This window comes from Homo sapiens, chromosome 14 (assembly GCF_000001405.40).
Source record: "Homo sapiens chromosome 14, GRCh38.p14 Primary Assembly".
Classification (NCBI taxonomy): Eukaryota; Metazoa; Chordata; class Mammalia; order Primates; family Hominidae; genus Homo; species Homo sapiens.
Window position 1 is genome coordinate 74792913 of NC_000014.9, and position 22766 is coordinate 74815678.

Genomic DNA, 22766 nt, shown 5'->3' on the forward strand with positions numbered 1-22766 from the left:
AGTCGTCCTGTATCTGACAATGTCTTTATTCTAATCTCACACTTACTTGCTAATTTGGATATAAAATATGATGTTGAAGATAATTATTCCTCAAGGTTTTAGGATCATTGTTCTATTTTGTTCTATCACATTGTGTAGGTGTTATACTGTTCTGATTCTTTTCCTGTTTTGGTGACCTCCTCTCTCCCAAACTTAAAAAATCTCTGGTATTCTGAAATTTCAGTGTTTTTTGTTTGCTTATTTAGTTTTATTATTAATTGTACTGAGTAGTCAGTATGCTGGCCCCTTTCTGTCTAGAGATTGGAATCTCTTAACTTTGGGACATTTCTTTGTGCTATTTCTTCATTCATTTTTTTTCTCTCGTTTTCTGTTTCTGGAACTCTTCATTAGTAGGATTTTGGATCTGTTGGATTGATTATCTTTGTGCCTTTTATCTTACATTTTGTTGTACTTCCTGAGATACTTTAACTTCTAGTCCTTTATTGCATCTTTTATTTTGAGAATTGGAAATTTTTTTTTCTGTGGTTCTTCTGGCGTTGATCTTTTTTATAAATAGCACATTGTTCTTGATTTATAGATGCAGTCTCTTTAAGAATCTCTCTGAGGATAACAATTTGAGTTGAAAGTTCTTTTCTGCTTTTTGCATTCTGTTTTCTCCAAATTCAGATCCTATTTATTTATCTTTAGTTTTTCTTTCATTTTGGACGTGTTCCTCAAATATCTAGCAATCCTTGGCTGTGCATTTATGTTTAAGCATGGAAGACACTGACAAACTGATTGGGAGCTCTGTGTATATGAGAGGGGCTTGTTACCTGTCAGGTTTCTGCTTTATGTGAATAGGGTAAGGAACTGTTACTACTGCTAGGGGACTCTCAAATTCAAGGATTTAAGAGACATTCAGCCTAAGGAAAGGCTGGTTGATGGTTCCGAATATAGATTTACGTATTTTTAGCCCCAAGTTTTACTCCTTTCCTTCCCTAGCACCCCCTAGTGTCTGAGAATCCTGACCTTCTCTGAGGTTCTCTGGGCAAGCCAGCCTTCTTTTGATTTTATCCCTTTCTGCCATCAGTACTCTAAACTGGTTTCTTCCTGCTCTGTAAGTTACCACTCATATTTGTTCTTTGTCTTTCAGAATGTACAAACAAGATTTTCATCTTCTGATTACCTCCTCTCTCTGTTTATTATGGGTTTGTGTATTTTTGAGTTCCTTGCAATGGGTTTGTAAAAGGTCAACTTGGCTGAGCTAAACTCCATTTCCCAAAATTCCCTTTCTCTCTCTTTTTTTTTTGAGACAAAGTCTCACTTTGTCACCCAGGCTGGAGTGCAGTGGCACCACCTCAGGCTCACTGCATTCTCCACCTCTTGGGTTCAAGTGATTCTCCTACCTCTGCCTTCCGAGTAGCTGGGATTATAGGCACACGCCACCATGCCCAGCTTAAGTTTTCTATTAGTAGAGACAGGGTTTCACCATGTTGGCCAGGCTGGTCTCTAACTCCTGACCTCAAGTGATCCACTCGCCTCCGCGTCCCAAAGTGCTGGGATTACAGGCGTGAGCCACCGTGCCTGGCAGTCTTTCCCATATGTTTCTGATTAGGTTGGGTCACAGGGAGATTTTCACACCTAACATGAGACATTTATTGCTGGACAACCAAAAACATTCTCTTTCCCCAGAAAAGCACACAAAGTCTTTTTTTTTTGTCTTTAAGATAATATTAGTTCATCCTTCTCCACCTGATTCACACTCCCTCTTTCATGTTCTGTAACTTAAATACTGAAATATAAGGTTAACTCTTATTAACACATGTTAGATAATAAGGAAGAAAACTAATGAACCAAAAAATATTTGGTTAATACACACACACACACACACACACATATTTAAACACAAATATATCAAATTAAGGAAGAAATATTTGTAACTATTGTAGTCCATATTTCTGCAATGGTCATGTGGTCATAGCTGGTATATATGTTCTTCCACTACTCATTCCATATTCCCTTTGCTCTAAGTAAGTACTTCAGCCAGTTCGGATTCCTTGCCTCATGGGGTGACCCAGGCTTTCATTCTTGAAAGATATGGGCTATTAGCAGTTCTTTCTGAATTACTTCTGCTGTTTGCAGTTCTACAAAACCCTTTGCAATTTTCCGTGGACTTGAATCTCAGGACATGGGAAATACTAAGAGATGTCCTAGAGGATCTCTTGCATTTCAGACACACTTCACTTCACCTGTATTGTGCAATAGTCACTCAAATTCCTCTTGAAAGTTAGGGTCAGTTATCCCCAGTGAATACAGTAACCCTCTCCATTGCCTCTTGATTTGGAACTTCAGAGTAAAGTTGGGGTCTCAACTTCAGGTTAGTGGAATCATTTGTTGTGTCCCCTAGTGGATGTGTTCGTCTCTTTGAAACTAGACTTTTAGAACAACAAAGCCTAAAGTCACAGGGATAGGAAATAAATATTTTGCCAACACTGAATTTATTAGTCTTCATTGATTTCCCAAAGAAATGAAAGAAAAAGCCTCCTAGCACTCATTAAAAGTCATGAAAGGCATCACTGTCTACTACTCAGTCACCTAAGCCAGAAACCTTGGAATCATCTTAAATTCTTCCCTTACAACTATCATTTTATTTCTACTGGTGACAAAATCCTATCAATTCTACCTTATTTTACATCTCTCACTTTTATCCCCTCCTCTACATTCTCATATCAGTCACTGCCTTAGACTAGGCATCACCTTCACTTACCCAAATTGTAAAGATGATCTTTAAACTTTTTGTCTCTGTCCACTATTTTTCTGCTAAAGCAATCTTTTAAAAATCAGACTATATTTAGTGGCTCTAAGTGCTTATAAGGTAACACCAAACTCCTTAACCAGCTGAATTAATTTATCTGTTATAATCGAGATCCAAGTCAGATGGCTTTAACAAGTTAGAAGTTTATTCTCTCTTAGGACTTAGGTGATGGTTCAGGAATCCAGTTCCTTCTGATTTACCTGGTCTTGGATATTTCACCACCATGTCAGAACCAGCATGAAAAAGGAAATGGAGAAGAGGAGGATGTGCCCTTTCCTTTAAGGGGACAACCCAGAAGATGTGCAAATCATTTTCACTCTCAGCTCCTTGGCCAGAACTTGGCTGCCAGTTCTAGCTGCAAGAGATATTGAGAAAGAGAGTCTTGTCTGGGGGGCCTTGTGTCTAGCTACAGGAGGCCTGTTATTGTAGATAAGTGGGGAATGGGTATTGGAAGACCACCAGTAGTCTCTGCCACATGAGGCATACACAATCTTCTGGAGAGTGATCCTCGCTTACTTCTTTACCTTATTTTTTAGTGTGCTGCTTTTCCACATTTCCCTCTTTATCAGCTCTCTTGACTCTGTTTCCCCTTTGCATTAGCCATGCTAAACTATTTGCACTTCCAAACATGCTCTGCTGATACACGTTTCTCCGCCTTTCCTCTTGCTTCCTTAGCTTGAGGTGCCCTTGCCACATACTTTCCTCATCTCCAACTCATTCTGTCAGCTTGATTTCAGAGAAGTTGTCTTTTAAAACTCAACATAAGCCTCTCCAATTCTGTTTTCCTTATTGTGTACACATAGACTTGAGACATTACATCTCTTGGTACTTATTTACACTTAGATTATCTTTATATTTTGTTGTAAACTCTTTGAGGGCACATATGACATTTTATTCTTGTATCTCTTGGATGTAATGTAATGCCTGACAGATAAAGGATGTGTACTTTCTTTTTACTGGATGAGCAAGTGGGTTTATAGCAAAAATAACTGTGCAGACTTTTTAAAATGTCAGAACCTACTCTTAAGATAGGGCTACTGTTTCTTTTTTTTTTTTTTTTAACTTTTGTCAATCAAAATGTTAGTGCTAGCTCTAACAATATTTATAATCATCCTATATTTTCTTGTTAGTCTTTTCATATTTAGTTTTTAGTTACAATTTAATTCCAGAAGTGCTCAGAGTTAGTTATGGAATTTGTTAATTTTTTTCTCTTTAAAATGAGCAGCCTTTTCTGTCTCCTAAGGCACAGTATTTATAATTGCTTTTTTTTTTTTTTTTTTTTGAGACGGAGTCTCACTCTTGTCACCCAGTCTAGAGTGCAATAGCGTGATCTCAGCTCACTGCAACCTCTGCCTCCCAGGTTCAAGTGATTCTCCTGCCTCAGCCTCCCAAGCAGCTGGGATTTGCAGGCACCTGCCACCACACCTGGCTAAATTTTTGTATTTTTTTTTTTTTTTTTTTTTTAGTAGAGATAGGGTTTCACCATGTTGGCCAGGCTGGTCTTGAACTCTTGATCTCAGGTGATCTGCCCATCTCTGCCTCCCAAAGTGCTGTGATTACAAGTGTGAGCCACTGCGCCAGGCCTGTAATTGCTTTTTAACCGTTCAGTATATCAGTGACTTGCGGCAGGAGATGTGTTGAAGTAAGTTAGATAATACTGACATGATTTCCAAAGCCTGTCCTAAGACCTTCTGAGCACTGCCACCTTAACATACTGGTTCTAAGATATTGGTGACTCAGGATTAATTTAATGACTGAAAAGAGTCATTGTTGTAAACAAATTCTAAGGCAAGAGTGCCTTAAATATTCTTACATGGAGAATTTTTTTTTTCTGCTTTACTGTCTTGAGTAATATCTTTTGTTTTACTTGTAGATTTGATGGTCCTCGAAGATTTGAGGATTTAGGGTCAAGGTGTGAAGGACCGAGACCCAAAGGGCCTCGTTTTGAAGGAAATCGCCCCGATGGGCCAAGACCCAGATATGAAGGTCACCCAGCAGAGGGCACTAAAAGCAAGTGGGGAATGATTCCCCGGGGGCCAGCATCTCAATTTTATATTACCCCCAGTACATCCCTAAGTCCTCGACAGAGTGGACCACAGTGGAAAGGCCCCAAACCAGCTTTTGGACAGCAGCATCAGCAGCAACCTAAGTCACAAGCAGAACCTCTTTCAGGAAACAAAGAACCATTAGCAGACACCAGTAGTAACCAGCAGAAGAATTTTAAAATGCAATCAGCTGCATTTTCCATTGCTGCAGATGTAAAGGATGTCAAGGCGGCTCAGTCAAATGAGAATCTAAGCGACTCTCAACAAGAGCCACCTAAAAGTGAAGTCTCGGAAGGGCCCGTAGAGCCCTCTAATTGGGACCAGAATGTTCAAAGTATGGAGACTCAAATCGACAAAGCCCAAGCTGTTACTCAGCCTGTACCCCTTGCGAATAAGCCTGTACCTGCTCAATCTACTTTTCCTTCAAAAACAGGGGGGATGGAGGGAGGAACAGCAGTAGCAACATCATCATTAACAGCAGATAATGATTTTAAACCTGTGGGTATTGGTCTACCCCATTCAGAAAACAACCAAGATAAAGGCCTGCCTCGGCCAGATAATAGAGATAATAGATTAGAAGGCAATAGAGGCAACAGCTCATCTTACAGAGGTCCTGGGCAAAGCAGAATGGAAGACACACGGGATAAAGGTCTAGTAAACAGAGGTCGCGGCCAGGCAATCAGTCGAGGCCCAGGATTGGTCAAGCAAGAAGACTTTCGGGATAAGATGATGGGTAGAAGAGAAGATAGTCGAGAGAAGATGAACAGAGGAGAAGGTAGCCGGGACAGAGGGTTGGTGAGGCCTGGAAGCAGTCGGGAGAAAGTGCCAGGTGGTCTTCAAGGGAGCCAGGACAGGGGTGCAGCTGGCAGCCGAGAAAGGGGACCACCTCGGAGGGCTGGCAGTCAGGAGAGGGGACCTCTTCGAAGGGCTGGGAGTAGAGAGAGAATACCACCCCGAAGAGCTGGGAGCAGGGAGAGAGGACCACCTCGAGGGCCTGGCAGTCGAGAAAGGGGACTGGGAAGATCAGATTTTGGTCGTGATAGAGGTCCATTCAGACCAGAACCAGGAGATGGTGGGGAAAAAATGTATCCATATCACCGGGATGAGCCTCCTAGGGCTCCATGGAACCATGGAGAAGAGCGAGGGCATGAAGAGTTTCCATTAGATGGTAGAAATGCTCCAATGGAACGAGAAAGACTCGATGACTGGGATAGAGAGAGATACTGGAGAGAATGTGAACGTGACTATCAAGATGATACACTAGAGCTCTATAACAGAGAGGACAGGTTCTCAGCACCACCATCTCGGTCTCATGATGGAGATAGGCGAGGCCCTTGGTGGGATGATTGGGAGAGAGACCAGGATATGGATGAGGACTACAATAGGGAAATGGAAAGGGACATGGACAGGGATGTGGATCGGATTTCAAGACCTATGGATATGTATGATAGAAGTTTGGATAATGAGTGGGACAGAGATTATGGGAGACCACTGGATGAACAAGAATCACAGTTTCGTGAACGGGATATTCCATCTCTTCCACCTTTACCGCCCCTCCCACCTCTTCCACCTTTGGATAGATATCGGGATGATAGATGGAGAGAAGAAAGAAATCGAGAGCATGGGTATGATCGAGATTTCCGTGATAGGGGTGAGTTGAGGATTCGAGAGTATCCAGAAAGAGGAGATACATGGCGGGAAAAGCGAGATTATGTTCCTGACAGAATGGACTGGGAAAGAGAACGGTTGTCAGACAGATGGTACCCATCTGATGTGGATAGACATTCCCCCATGGCGGAACATATGCCCTCCTCACATCATTCCTCAGAAATGATGGGGTCCGATGCAAGCTTAGACTCTGACCAAGGCCTTGGAGGGGTAATGGTTCTCAGTCAGAGGCAGCATGAAATCATTTTGAAAGCTGCACAAGAACTGAAAATGCTTCGGTAAGTTGACTCCTTCAGATCCTTTCTTTTAATAAAAACCACATTCAGACTGCTCTTTTTAAAGTGATATGATATATTTGAATGGAATCATTTTACTTCAAGTTCTTATCACATACTTTTAATTTATATTTCTGGTCATTCAGTGCTGTTTTAGGGTTAGAATGGGTATTTAGGAACTGTGTTAATGATAAACTTATGCCCTAAGATGTGAAAATTGATTGCTGTCTTGGCCTTTGTAGAAGTGTTGCTGGCATGCCATGCCTGTGCATGTTTCAAGTGTCAAACTTCAACTTTTCAGTGCTCTGGATTTCACAGGGTTCATGTGTAACCTTCATTTTTTCCAGTAATCAGTTTGTTCTTTGGTATTAGATCTGATAGACTTTATATTCACTAATCATTGATAAAACTTTGGAAAGTGCTGTATTTTTCTTTGTTGAAGCTAAGAATGGTTTGCTTAGGAGCATCCTCAGATTTGTCTTAACTATTGATACTTTCTTTTGGGGATGTTTTATCTTTCATTATAACTAAAAGCAGATATTTCTCCTTGAGGATGTTATTTGTTTCTACATAACCAAATGTTTTCTTTGTGAAATGGAAAATAGGATTTCTTGACTTACAATCAACTGTGTATAGGTATCTACATAATTTTCCTCTTTTCTTGTGGTAACAACAATAACAAAAGCTAACATTTATTGCATGCTTACTCCGGGCCAGGAACTGTACTAAGTGTGTTGTGTATAATAAACTCATTTAATCCTTAAACCAGCTGTATCTTGGGATAGGAATTTAGAAGTCAGTGACAGATTGAAAACTTTTTTAAAGCAATTTTTTTGAGAAAGTCAATTAATGATTAGGTTTTGATAAATTCCAATGTATTTCTTCCATTTTTCAATTCTGGTTTACATTTGTGGATCTTAACAATAAATTATAACTTAAACTTTAGAACTAGGAAAGAAAAATACGGTGAAGAAAAGGTAATGATGAAAGACCAGATACGGCAGGTTTGTATGGTCTATAGCTAAGAGGTTTATTTTTTCCAGATTACTCATGAAGAAAATGTGGAAAGCATGCTATAGAATATTTAGCTACTACACTATTCACTTTTAAGTTATAGACACCTTTAATTTTAACACCTACCGTGTAACTGGGCACTTGCTAATAATTGAGTGTATATTATGTCAGTCTGTCTATCTCAAAGGCCTGCAAAGATAAGGTAGTATTATCCCCACTTCACAAATGACACTAAAGTTCAAAGAGGTTAAGTTCCCTTGGCTAGTAAGTGGCAAACCCGGCCTTTGAACTCAATCTGTCTAAAACTCTAAAATCTGTGTTATTTATGGAGAATACCAAGCTGATTGGTGTTGTTAAGCTGCCAAGGTTTCTTTTTTTTTCCTTTTTAAATTTCTTTTTAATTCGTTATTGCTTTGCATGGTAATGCTGGATAAAAGGTGCTGCTGCTGCTTCATCCTTTTTTAAAGCTTTCTAGGCAACATGAACATAATTAAACAATATATAGGGAGTGATGGATAATGTCATAGCCGAATACAAGTCGTTTATGTTGTGTCAGTGTAAAGTCGTAAGGAGTATCATAAGGGATGTGATGATGGGATTTACCTGAGCAGTAAATAATCTTACACACTTGACCCTTACTTTGTGGTCCCTCATTTGTGGACCCTCATTTGGGTCACTTTAATGTAAGGAGAAAATTGTAAAAGGTCTTAAGAAATTGTAGTGGATTTTACCTATGTTTAAGGTAGGCATTGTGAAAAAAAGTAAAAGGAATTTCGTCAGTTTAAAGAAAAAACCGAAGGATTACATAATTATCTTCAGGAATATGAAATGTTGTTTTTAAAGGTATAGACTGACAGTTGTTCTCACCATCTACAGCAGGGGCCATAAATTAAAATGTCCCCAAGAATCAGATAACAAAAATGAGTGAAAGTGGGCCAAGTATAACTCTGTAGAGTACGGTGAAGATTGTGACAGGTTGTTTCATCTAACATGGGCAGCCTCTACTGCACTCAGCTGATTGTTGGCATGTGGGAATGTAGGCCTGGTGTTACCATATCTCTTTAAGATTTGAATTTATATATGAAATATTTTGCTTTGTAAATATGACAGCTAATTTCAAATTTTAAAAACTGATGTGAAAGCCACATTTTGAAAACCTTTTTAGGCCATATTTGGCCCATGGGCCACCATTTTGCAACCTCTGGTCTAAAGAGTTGAAAAAAATAGGCCGGGCGTGGTGGCTTACGCCTGTAATCCTAGCACTTTGGGAAGCTGAGGCAGGCGGATCATGAGGTCAGGAGTTCGAGACCAGCCTGGCCAATATAGTGAAACCCCGTCTCTACTAAAAAAATACAAATAATTAGCCGGGCGCGGTGGTGCATGCCTGTAGACCCAGCTACTCGGGAGGCTGAGGCAGGAGAATCACTTGAACCCGGGAGGCAGAGGTTGTAGTGAGCTGAGATCGCGCCATTGCACTCCAGCCCAGGCGACAGAGTGAGACTCTGTCTCAAAAAAAAAAAAAAAAAAATAGCAAGAGAGCTTTTGGTTGGATTAAAGAAAAACATAACAAGTAGATGAGATAGTAGAAAACAACTGAGGCAGGTTGTAGAATCTATTCTTGAATATCTTCAATAATTTATAATTATTTATATGTCTTAAATGACTGATGAGTTAGCTACATAAAAGCAAAAGAGGGTAATCCTGGAGCTGCTCAGTGTATGGCCACTGCAGAGAATTTTAGGACAAGGATTTTTTAGGTCTCCTTTTTTTAATTAAATATTAATTGTAGTCACTTAGGAATGGAATAAGCATGCTTTATGTACTATGTCAATTTTATTTGTTTGCAGGGAACAGAAAGAACAGCTTCAAAAGATGAAAGACTTCGGGTCTGAGCCACAGATGGCTGACCATCTACCACCTCAGGAATCAAGATTGCAGAATACATCTTCAAGACCTGGAATGTATCCGGTATGGGAGAATGTGTGCTCAGAAAATGAAATGGTTTCTACTTTGTATGTTTCTATGTTGTTTGATTTTTTTTAGAAGTTGAATAAATAACAAATTTCCTCTATAAAATGTAAATTTTGGAAACTTAAAAGTTTATGGTAATTGAACTTTGAACACCTTAAAAGCATGTTCAAAAGTGTGGTAGAGATGCTCCTTTTCCCCAGATTTTGATAAGTACACCAAGTACACCTGAACTACATAGCTTCTGTTCACAAAATGGTAGAATTTTTCTAATAATTTTTATGTTAAAATAGTCCTGTTGGCTGGGCATAGTGGCTCACACCTGTAATTCTAGCACTTTGGGAGGCTAAGGCGAGAGGATTGCTTGAGCCCAGGAGTTTGACACCAGCCTTCGCAAAATGGTGAGACCCCTATCTCTACCAAAAAAAAAAAAAAGTCCTGTTTTCCATCTAGGCAGGGCTAGATGTGGGCCTCGTGATGCTTCCTACCTCTTCAGGCTACTAGTCCTTCAGATGGGGAAATGTCATACCCCAGTACATACTTCAGAACTGTTCAGGCAGTATGAAAAGGGGTGTTTATGTTAAAGACTTGAGTAATTAAGTTCTCCTTTTTTTCCCAAGAGCATGCCAGGACTTCTTTTATTTTTGTTATTTTACCTTTAAGCCAGTAATGGGCTTTTCAAATGTTTAAAATGTTATCTTGCAGGTAGTTTTATGACAGCATAATGAAGAAAACAGCTCTACTGAACCTCTACTGAACCATTTCATCAAATTAACACTTTTCATTTCTCAGTGTTCCCTTCCATCCTGGTCTAATACTTAACAGTAAGACATAGTTGTTGACATCAGTGACCACCATGGTGTTGTTGACTCCCCAGATCGGATCTCCTGACCTTTGTACGCATCTACCTGTCTGCAGGGTTTCTGTCTGTGGATGTGACTCCTGTCAAATGCAGCATATTCAAAATGGGGCTCGTTATCATACCCCATTAAATTGTCTTTTTTCCTCACCATCACCTAGTCACCCTAACTTGAAACCTGAAAATCAACCCTCCATCTTGCTCCATCTTGCTGATTTGTCCTACCCTGCTGCTGATTGATTTTACCTCCTTTGAATCAAATTCTCAAGTATAATTACACCCATTTTAAGCCTATAGTTCGAGTTTTGACAGATGTATACCAAAAGATAAAAAAATTCTCGGCCAGGCGCGGTGGCTCACACCTGTAATCCCAGCACTTTGGGAGGCCAAGGCGGGTGGATCACTTGAGGTCGGGAGTTTGAGATGAGCCTGACCAACTTGGAGAAACCCCGTCTCTACTAAAAGTACAAAATTAGCCGGGCGTGGTGGCGCATGCCTGTAATCCCAGCTACTAAGGAGGCCGAGGCAGGAGAATCACTTGAACCCGGGAGGTAGAGGTTGCGGTGAGCCGACATCGCGCCATTGCACTCCAGCCTGGGCAACGGGCGAAACTCCATCTCAAAATCAAAACAAAACAAAACAAAATTCTCATCACCCTAAAAAGTTCTCTCATGCCCTTTTGAGATTGGGACTACCCCTATACTCCACTTCAGGCAGCGTCGATGTGATTTGTGGCCAGATGGACATTTTAAAACAAATCTCACCATGTGGCTACCTGGCTTTAAAACTTCAATGTTCTCCCATGCCTTCAGGATGAAATTTAGAATCTCTTGCATGACTTTCTTGTTCTTCCTGAGCTGGCCTGACCTCTGCTGACCATTGCTTGCTACTCCACTCTCTGATGCTTCATTTTCCCTCCACATAGAGCTACTTAACAATTTTGTGAATGTGCTAGATTCTTTTACTTCTTCATTCCTTTGCGTATGCATGTTGTTCTCTAAGCCTAGAGTCTTTTCTTTGCCTTCCCATCCCCTCCTGCAACTGGCTAATGTTTGTTTATCTTTTACAACTCAGCTCTACTATTTTCTCTTCCACCTATGTAGGGCAATTACCCTTGTACATACCCTGTAACATCTTGTACTAGTCTTTGTTGTCATCTTTATTATGTTGCATTTTGAGTGTCTGTTTTCTTGTCTTTCTTTCTAAATTGAGTCCATAAGATAATAACTATATCTTTCATCTTTGTGTGTCTTAGTAAATAGAAGCGCCAGATTGTACATCCACATTTCTGCTTTATTTGCTTAACAAATCATAATCATCTTTCCATATTGTTATATGCTATATTATTTTTTGATTTACAATAATTTATTGAATTAATTCAATTTCTGTTGGAATTTGTTTCTAATCTTTCACTGTTATTCTTAATATTACCCTAATGAATGTCTTTGTATTGGGTTCTTATTTTAGATAACTCCTTTTCTTTTTTCCTTTTTTTTTTTTTTGAAATGGAGTCTCACTCTGTTGTCCAGGCTGGAGTGCAGTGGCATGATTTCAGCTCACCGAAACCTCCACCTCTTGGGTTTAAGCGATTCTCCTGCCTCAGCCTCCCAAGTAGCTGGGATTACAGGTGCCTGGCACCACACCTGGCTAAATTTTTTGTATTTTTAGTAGAGACAGGGTTTTACCAATTGGCCAGGCTGGTCTTGAACTCCTGACCTCAGGTGATCCACCTGCCTCAGCCTCCGAAAGTGCTGGGATTACAGGCATGAACCACCGCACCCGGCCAATAACTTCTTAGGAGTAAGTTTTATGTTTTTGTTTTGTCTCTTTTTTTTTGCTCTGTTGCCTGGGAGGCTGGAATACAGTGGTACAATCATAGCTCACTGGAGCCTCAAACTCCTGGGCTCAAGTGATTCTCTCACCTCAGCCTCCTGAGTAACTGGGACTACAGGCACACACCCTACGCCTGGCTAATAATAAAAAAAAAAAATTGTTAGTAGGGACAGGGTCTCGCGTTGTTGCCCAGGCTGGTCTCGAACTCCTGGGCTTAAGTGATCCTCATGCCTTGTCCTCCCAGAGTGCTGGGATTACAGGTGTGAGCCCCTGCACCCAGCCAACAGTGATTTTAACGTCCCAAAGTGGGACACTTCAGTCAAAGAATAAGCATACTTTTTTTTTTTTTTTTTGAAACGGAATGTAGTCTGTCACCCAGGCTGGAGTGCAGTGGCACAATCTCAGCTCACTGTAATATCCACCTCCCGGGTTCAAGTGATTCTCCTGCCTCATCCTCCTGAGTAGCTGGGATTACAGGTGCCTGCCACCATTCCTGGCTCATTTTTTTTGTATTTTTAATAGAGATAGGGTTTCACCATGTTGGCCAGGCTGGTTTTGAACTCCTGACCTCAGGTGATCCACCTGCCTCAGCCTCCCAAAGTGCTAGGATTACAGGCATGAGCCACCACACCTGGCCCAGAATAAGCATACTTTTTAAATGATTCCTGTCACATAGCCAAACAGCTCTCTATAATAGTTGTATAATGGCCGGGTGTGGTGGCTCATGCCTGCAATGCCAGCACTTTGGGAGGCCAAGGCAGGTGGATCACAAGAGGTCAGGAGTTCCAGACCAGCCTGGCCAACATGGTGAAACCCCGTCTCTACTAAAAATATAAAAATCAGCTGGGCTTGGTGGCATGTGCCTGTAATCCTAGTTACAGGTGAGGCTGAGGCAGGAGAATCGCTTGAACCTGGGAGGCAGAGGTTGCAGTGAGCCAAGATTGCACCACTGCACTCCAGCCTGGGTGACAGATCAAGACTCTGTCTCAAGTGCATCACCTGAGGTCAGGAGTTCAAGACCAGCTTGGCCAACATGGTGAACCCTCGCCTCTACTAAAAATACAAAAATTAGCCAGGCACGCGCCAGGTGGTGCGCACCTGTAATCCCAGCTACTAGGGAGACTGAGGCAGGAGAATTGCTTGAACCTGAGAGGTAGAGGTTGCACATAGCGCCACTGCGCTCCAGCCTGGGCAACAAGAGTGAGACTCTGTCTCAAAAAAATATATAAATAAATAAATGAAAAAAAATAATTGTATAACATCTATACTATAGCCTCGTAAGCATTAGCTACTTAATATTTTTGGTATATTTAATAATTTTAATACAGCATTTTTGATTACTAGTGAACATGAATATTTTCCCATATTTGTTAATTATACTTTCCTCTTACAGAAATTCTGTTTGTGTCCTTCACCCATTTATCTGTTTGAGTCAGGTTTTTTTTTTTTAAATTAACTCATTATCCTTAATATAATATAGATATTAACCCTTTCTCATATAAACAATAATTTTAAAAAATGTATCTTTTACTTTCACTATATAGAATGAAGAAAGCAGTTTTTAAAAAATTTATAAGTATACATCTATGAGATCTTAAGATATTTAAAACTTGTCTTGATAGATCTACCCAGACTGAATAGCTTCATCCTATATTGGCATTTTCTTGACAAAGTTTACCATGCCATACTTTAAAAGTTTACCTTTAGGTAATAGCCATTTGTCTTTAACTGTAGCCAGTAGTTACCTCCAGTCAAATAATGTTCCTTCTGTATTAGTCAACTCCATTTTATTATTCAGAAAGTTTATTTTTAAAGTACTGTGTATATATGGGCAAATATATAAATAATGTATATTGTGGGCTCTCCAGGATCTAAAATAGCGTCAATAAAGAAAAAACATCCTAGAATAACAGAGAAGTAAAAAACCAAAACAAAACAAAAAACAAAAAAATAAAACCAAACCAGCCAGACACAGTGAACTAAGAAATGGGAAGTAAGTGTTTGAATCACACTTACAAAGATTAAAATAGAGACTAGGCATGGTGGCTCACACCTGTAATCCCAGCACTTTGGGAGGCTGAAGCGAGAAGATTACTTGAGGCCTGGAGTTCAAGACCAGCCTGGGCAACATAGCAAGACCCCGTCTTTACCAAAGAAAGAATAAAAATAAAATGTATTTGGCAACTGGGTTTCAATATTGAGTAGATAGGACCAATTTGCTAAGAAGTCCTACCATCTCCATCATAGACATTTCTGATGGTAACTGGTGATGCTTTGGGAAAACAAATGGAAGGAGGGCACACAACAGTGGCACTCCTTAGATTACTAGATGTTCATTTAGTTTATTTTGTTGTTTCATAGTACTCATGTTCTCTGTTGGTCTCAGCTTCACCACAGATGACTATTGTCAACCAGATAACTGAAAGGAACAGAAGTGTGGAGGCTATCTAGGATTTCTCTCACTGAAAATTTACTGTTTTTGTGGAGGAGATAGGTCTCTAGAGTAGGAAGATAGTTCTTATTTATTTATTCATTTCTCTCCTTCCTGCACACTGAGCATAGGAAGATAGTTCTTAACCGAGGGTTATAAATCAGAATTATTCATGGAGGGTTTTTTTAAAATTTTGAATTACTGGTGGGACCCCACCTACAGAAGTTCAGTAGATTTGGTATTGGCCTGGGACATTTGAATCTTACGTGGCTACCACCCTAATTTGGAGTATGGAAATTTTAAAACGTTTTCATTACCCCTGTAAGATCACTGCACCAGTTTACAGTTAGTTAATCCTCATTCCTACCCCAGTCCCAGCACTTTCTGTCTATATAGATTTGCCTTTCTGGGCATTTTGTATAAATGAATTATATAATATGTAGTCTTTTGTGTCTATCTTCTTTTCAAAGTTTACCCATGTTGTAGCATGACTCAGTACTTCATTTCTTTTTACTGCTTTTTAAATTTCTTTTTATTTATAACCTGTTACATGAATATACCACATTTTGTTTAACCATTCACCAGTTGTTGGACATTAGGGTTGTTGAATAGTACGGCTATGAATGTTTGTGTGCAAGTCTTTGGATGGACATATGTTTTTATTTTTCTTGGATAGATACCGAGAAATGAAATTGCTGAGCCATATGATAAATTTATGTTTGGCCGGGTGCGGTGGCTCATGCCTGTAATCCCAGCATTTTGGGAGGCTGAGGTGGGTGGATCGCCTGAGGTCAGGAGTTCGAGACCAGCCTGACCAACATAGTGAAACCCCATCTCTACTAAAAATACAAAAAATCAGCTGGGCGTGGTGGCGGGTGCCTGTAATCCCAGTTACTCAGAAGGCTGAGGCAGGAGAATCACTTGAACCTGGGAGGCAGAGGTGGCAGTGAGCTGAGATCGCGCCATTGCAGTCCAGCCTGAGCAACAAGAGTGAAACTCCGTCTCAAAAAAAAAAAAAAAAAATTGTGTTTGACTTTTTGAGAGAAATTGGCAAAGCATTTTCTATAGTGGCACCATTTATTCCCACTAACAATCTAAAAGGGTTTTTCTTTCCTATATCCTTGCCATCATTTGTTTTTGTCTGTCTTATTAATTATAACCATTCCAGTGCATATGAAAATGGTATCTCATTGGGATTTTAATTTGTGTTTCCCTAATGACTAATGATGGTGAGCATCTTTTCATGTGCTTATTGGGCATTTATATATTTTCTTTGGAGAAATATCTATTCTCATCTTTTGGCCATAGTTTTTTTTTTTTTATGATTTGTCTTACCGAGTTTAAGTGTTTTGTATATTCTGAATTCAAGTTCTTTATCAAATATAAGATTTGCCTATGTTTTCTCCCTTTCTGTGGCTTGTCCTCATTTTTTTTGATGGTATGTTTTGAAGCACGAAATTTTGAATGAGTCCAAGGTGTTAACTTTTTTCTTATAAATTGAGAACCAGATTTTAATTTCCACTGATCTATAAAAACATAGTGGTATACTTGTCCACTAAGCTATTTATTCTGTTCTCTAGCCTCCAGGGTCGTATAGACCTCCCCCTCCTATGGGCAAACCACCAGGTTCAATTGTAAGACCCTCTGCTCCACCAGCAAGATCATCTGTTCCTGTGACCAGGCCACCTGTCCCAATACCACCACCTCCACCTCCTCCACCTCTACCTCCTCCTCCTCCAGTGATAAAGCCACAAACTTCAGCTGTAGAACAGGAACGATGGGATGAAGATTCTTTCTATGGGCTCTGGGATACAAATGATGAACAAGGACTGAATTCAGAATTTAAGTCAGAAACTGCAGCAATTCCATCTGCTCCAGTATTACCACCCCCACCTGTTCACTCTTCCATTCCCCCTCCTGGCCCAGTGCCTATGGGTATGCCACCAATGTCCAAGCCACCACCAGTACAACAGACTGTTGATTATGGCCATGGCCGAGGTGAGTAATGATAGTGCACTTGTATTTGGGATTCTACAGGAATTGTTAGCTTCAGCTTTAGCTTTCTCTAGCTTCACTCTTACAGTACTTTATCTCTGATTTTGTTTACCAGATATATCCACTAATAAAGTTGAACAGATACCTTATGGAGAAAGAATAACTCTACGCCCAGATCCACTACCTGAAAGATCAACTTTTGAGACAGGTAGGATTCCCAGAGAGGTCAGTATTTTTAAACATTTTAGGGCCTAATTATCACATGATTTTCCTTTTGGTGAGATTATCTGAGCCTCCATTTAATACAGCTAAAAGATTCTTAGTTGAATTTATGGCAAAAATTTATACCAGCTCTGAAGTTAGATTTATAGTTTTCTGCTTTTATTTCTATAAAAGGGATATAGTTATTTTGTACTAATTGTTTTTGTAGAGCATGCAGGCCAACGTGATCGTTATGATAGAGAAAGAGATCGTGAGCCTTATTTTGATCGTCAAAGTAATGTCATAGCAGATCATCGAGATTTTAAAAGGGATCGTGAGACACATAGAGATCGAGACCGGGATCGTGGTGTTATTGACTATGACCGGGATCGATTTGACAGAGAACGCCGACCCCGAGATGATAGGTATGCTATAAAACAATCTTTGCTAGGTGTACAAATTACTGTATACTTAACAGTAAAAGTTTAAGAGAAATTTAATAAGTAACATATTCTTCTCATGCATGTGTATATGTAATTTGGAGGGGGAAGAACAATTCTGGACCAGTTTTCAGGAAAGTAGGTCCTTGACTTGGTAGCTTGAATTCCAGAGAATTAAATGGGAGATGGAGATAGCCAGAAGGGAATGGAAATGGTATTGTCAATAAAGGTGCAGTCATACTCAGTAGGCAAGCAATTTATTTTTGCAATTCATGAGCTTTTTATTTATTATTATTATTATTATTATTATACCTAAGGGCATTCTGGCAGCCAGCCAAGGAAAAGGGAAAGGGGGGCAAGCCCATGAACTATTTATTTATTTATTCATTACTATTTTGTATGGAGACGGGGTCTCTCTCAGTCTGTCACCCAGGCTGGAATGCAGTGGCGCAGTCTCAGCTCACTGCAGCCTCCACCTCCTGGGCTCAAGTGATCCTCCCACCTCAGTCTCCTGAGTAGCTGGGGCCACAGGCATGTGCCACCATGCCTGGCTAATTTTTTTTTTGTTTTTGATGACGATGTGGTTTCACCATGTTGCCCAGGCTGATCTCAAACTTCTGAGCTCAAGTGATCCACCTGCCTCGGCCTTCCGAAGTGCTGGGATTATAGGCGTGAGCCATCATGCCCAGCTTTCCCATGAACTTCTTAGATGTATGTATATAAAGTAAATCTAAATGAAAAAGCAAAGTCAAAATGTAAATATTGGCCGGGCGTAGTGGCTCACGCCTGTAATCCTAGCACTTTGGGAGGCCAAGGCAGGTGGATCTCTTGAGCTCAGGAGTTCAAGACCAGCCTGGCCAACATGGCGAAACCCCATCTCTACAAAAAATAACAAAAGTTGGCTGGGTGTGGTTATGTGCACCTGTAGTCCCAGCTACTCAGGAGGCTGAGATGGGAGGATTGCTTGAACACTGGAGATCAAGGCTGCAGTGAGCCGAGATCACGCCACTGCATTCCAGCCTGGTTGACAAAGTAAGACCCCAATCTCAAAAAAAAAAAGTAAACATTTACTGTGTGGAGTACCTTCCTATAGAGAAAATTGGGCAGTTAATGCTGTTGCGTTATAAAGCAGAGAACCCCAAATATTTTTTATTTGCTGAAGCGCTTCCTATTACACCTTCTAGAGCTCAGTCATATCGAGACAAAAAAGACCATTCCTCATCCAGAAGAGGGGGTTTTGATAGGCCATCCTATGACCGGAAGTCTGACCGACCAGTCTATGAAGGACCATCCATGTTTGGAGGTAGAGTGATGCCTTATTAACTACAAGGATGTTGAGAATGTAAAGCATGGGAGATGCTTTCCATTGTAGCTATGAATTTAAACTTTTAGAGTAAAACGTATTCACAGATTTCTTAGAGCTGGTGGCATTGTCCTAAAAAATAGCAGTGTAATTAATGAAATAAAGCATGTTTATTTTTAAAACAAAGTAGAATCAAAATTACTGATAGTCTCACTACCTACCATACTACAGCTATTATAATTTTGTAGCTTTCCTCTCATTCGCTCTTTACAGACATATTTATGAAGTTGTAATCAAAGTATAATAATACAATTTCTTTATCGTGATTGTTCTGATTGATATTGCACCATACACATTTTTCATATGTAAACCTATTTTATTAATGGCTCTGTGACATTCCATTGAGTGGATAAAATATAAGACCAAGACCCTTATTCTTAGTTATTTAGGTTGCTTTTAGTTTTTCACTGCTATGATTTACACTTAAACTAGAAACTCATACCTATTTTTAGGAACAGGCTCTCCTAAGATGGTATAACTCTTACTCTTAAAACCATAAAGCAGAAGTTACAGAACTTAGGACTATCCAGCAAAGCATTTATTATTCTTCCATGTCCTGTTGCTTAACTTTCCTACATTTAATACAAACAAGGATGAATTCAGTGTTTTGCAGAACATTCTATTTGCCTGAAATCATACTTAAATCTTCTCATTTTCTTGACTTCAGTAGATTTTACATTACCTTAAATTTTCTCTAATTAAAGTTAAAAGTGGCCCCAAAATCACTGGACTTGGTTTGAATTATATTACCTTAGGATGTGTGGGGAGAGTTGAATTTCAAAATAATTACTCTACAAATAGTAATTTTGTTCAACTGCTGGAATCCTAGGAGAACGAAGGACTTATCCTGAGGAGCGAATGCCTCTGCCAGCTCCTTCACTGAGCCACCAGCCTCCTCCAGCTCCACGAGTCGAGAAGAAGCCTGAATCAAAGAATGTGGACGATATTTTGAAACCACCGGGCCGGGAGAGCAGACCTGAGAGAGTGAGTCCTATGAAGTTGATTCGTCTTCGTGCAAACCAGAAGATAAGAGATCTTGTTAATATCCTGAAAAGAATTTCTTTATTTTTCTGCAACATAGTAATAATATCAGATTCAAGACGTTTTACTATCTCTAAATCACCATATAATCTCATAAATGGCCTACACTATAGAATCTTTAAGAATTTAGCACTAAAGTACTTGGCAAAAAAGATGTTGAATTTTAAAACATATTAATGAGACCTCAATTAATTGCGCGTTGAAGAGAGGAAAAGTGGATTTGGTTTTATGGTGTGTGGAATAGAAAGGGAGAATTAGGAGACTTGATTAGCTTAGGCTTAATTTCCTAGTGACCTCCAAATGTGCGCATTCTATTAAATTTGTCTTATTACAGAATAATTAGACTGACTCCATTTGAATTAACTGGTACTGGAGATTTCAGCCAGATATTTTAATTCCATATATACAGAATTAATAGATTGTTGTTTTAAAGTCTTTTTGCCTACTATTACTATATAGCTACTTGACCTTTCCTGTGGTTGCTGTTTGCATGATAAATCTTTTACCATTTCCTTCCTTTCATTCTATTTGTATCTTTTAATGTAAAGTGTGTCTCCTGTAGTATGCCTATGGTTGGATCTTTTTTTTTTTCCATTCAGGTTCCCTTTATTTCTGACATTTCTTCACCATCCTTGCAAGGGTAACTCCCTAATCACTCTAGAAATTCAGATTCCTGTTTCTGACTCCGTAGGACACAGCGGATCGTGTTTTTTAATGCAGTCTGAAAATCTCTGCCTTTTGATTGGATTGTTTAATACATTCACATTTTTTTTTTAAATTATGGATTCAGGATACATGTGCAGGTTCATTACACAGGTATTTTGTGTAATGCTGGAGTTTGGGCTTCTAAAGAGCCTGTCACCCAAAAAGTGAACATAGTACCCTGTAGTAAAGTTATTATTGATGGCTTAATTTCATTTTTGGATTGTTCCTTGCAAATATATGGAAATATGGTTTATTTTTGTTTATTCGTCTTGTATCCTGCAATACCACTGAATTCATTTATTACTTTTAGTAGGTTTTTAGTTGATTCTTAAGGTTTTCTATGTATAAGATCATGTCATCTGCAAATATACTTTTACTTCTTTCTTTCTGAATTGAATGCCTTTTATTTCTTGCCTAATTGCCCTGGCTAGAACCTCCAATGCAGTGTTGAATAGACATGGCAAGAGTGGACATTCTTGTCTTGTATCTGATTTAGAGAGAAAAAAATACAATCTTTTACCATTAAGAATGATGTTGCTGGGTGTGGTGGCTCACGCCTGTAATCCCAGCACTTTGGGAGGCTGAGATGGGCGGATCATGAGGTCAGGAGATTGAGACCATCCTGGCTAACACGGTGAAACCCCGTCTGTACTAAAAATACAAAAAATTAGCTGGGCGTGGTGGCAGGCACCTGTAGTCCCAGCTACTCAGGAGGCTAAGGCAGGAGAATGGCATGAACCCAGGAGGCGGAGCTTGCAGTGAGCCAAGATCGCGCCACTGCACTCCAGCCTGGGCGACAGAGCGAGACTCCGTCTTTAAAAAAAAGAAGAATGATATTAGCTGTGGAATTTTTTTGTAGATGCACTTCATTAGGTTGAGAAAGTTCCCTTCTATTCCTAGTTTGTTGAATGTTTTTATCATGAGAGGATGTTGGATTTGTTGAATGCTTTTTCTGTGTCAGTTGAGATGATCGTGTGATTTTGGTTTTTAGTCTGTTGATATGATGTGTTACATTAATTGATTTCATATGTTAACTTGCATTCCTGGGATAAATCCCACTTGATCATGGTGTGTAATAATTTTTATATGTTGCTGGATTCAGCTTGCTAATATTTTGTTGAGGATTTTTGCATCCATATTCATAGGAGATATTGTAGTTTTCTTGTCTGTATGTGGTTTGGTGTAATGCTGGCCTCATAAAGTAAGTTAGAAATTATTCCTTCCTATTCTATGTTTTTGAAGACCTTGGGAAGAGTCGGTATTTAAATGTTTGGTGAATTCAGTAATGAAGTCATCCAGGCTTAGGCTTTTCTTTGTGTGTAGTTTTTTAAAATTATTGTCTTAGATTCTTCACTTGTTATAGGTCTATTCAGATTGTTTATTTGTTCTTGAGTAAATTTTAGTAGTCTACATCTTTCCAGGAATTTGTCTGTTTCACCTAAATTATCTAATTTGTTGGCATACAATTGTTCATAGTATTCCTTTGTAATCTTTTTTATAAGGTTGGTAGTAATGTCTCCTCCTTCATTTCTTTTTTACTCGAGGCAGAGTCTCACTATTGCCCAGGCTGGGGTTGCACTCCTGGGCTCAAGTGACCCTCCTGCCTCAGCCTCCTGAGGAACTGGGATTATAGGCACATGCCACTGAGCCCAGCTTTCATTTCTGATTCTGGTAATTTGAATCTTCTTTTTTTTCTATTCAGCCTAGGTAAGAGTTCATCAATTTTGTTGATCTTAGTCAGGCGTGGTGGCTCATGCCTGTCATCCCAGCACTTTGGGAGGCTGAGGTGGGCGGATCACTTGAGGCTAGGAGTTCAAGACCAGCCTGGTCAACACGGTGAAACCCCATCTCTACTAAAAACACAAAAATTAGGCGGGCGTGGTGGCAGGCACCTGTAATCCCAGCTGCTTGGGAGGCTGAGGCATGAGAATCGCTCAAACCTGGGAGGCAGAGGTTGCGATGAGCCAAGATTGCACCACTGCACTCCAGCCTGGGCAACAGAGCAAGACTCCATCTCAAAAAAAAAAAAAAAAGTTGGTCTTTTTAAAGAACCACTGCCACCGTTTGGTTTTATTGACTTTTTCTCTTTTGTTTTTCTGTTTTCTATTTTATTAACTTCTGCTTTAATCTTTAT

The 22766-nt window shown here is 39.7% G+C and overlaps 1 protein-coding gene across 6 annotated transcripts in view; it reads left to right on the forward strand.

Moving 5' to 3' along the window:
* YLPM1 (YLP motif containing 1) overlaps positions 1-22766 on the forward strand; it is a 74003-nt gene that overhangs the window by 29597 nt on the left and 21640 nt on the right. For 4 of the 6 annotated variants that reach the window (XM_011536966.3, NM_019589.3, XM_047431591.1 and 1 more), the window contains 7 exons: positions 4668-6785; positions 9644-9764; positions 16468-16885; positions 16998-17090; positions 17313-17508; positions 18708-18826; positions 19716-19870. In XM_011536966.3, the coding sequence (XP_011535268.1) occupies positions 4668-6785; positions 9644-9764; positions 16468-16885; positions 16998-17090; positions 17313-17508; positions 18708-18826; positions 19716-19870 (3220 nt within the window). The remainder of the gene's footprint in view (positions 1-4667; positions 6786-9643; positions 9765-16467; positions 16886-16997; positions 17091-17312; positions 17509-18707; positions 18827-19715; positions 19871-22766) is intronic. The other 2 variants (NM_001411052.1, XM_047431592.1) reach the window with 1 other exon arrangement.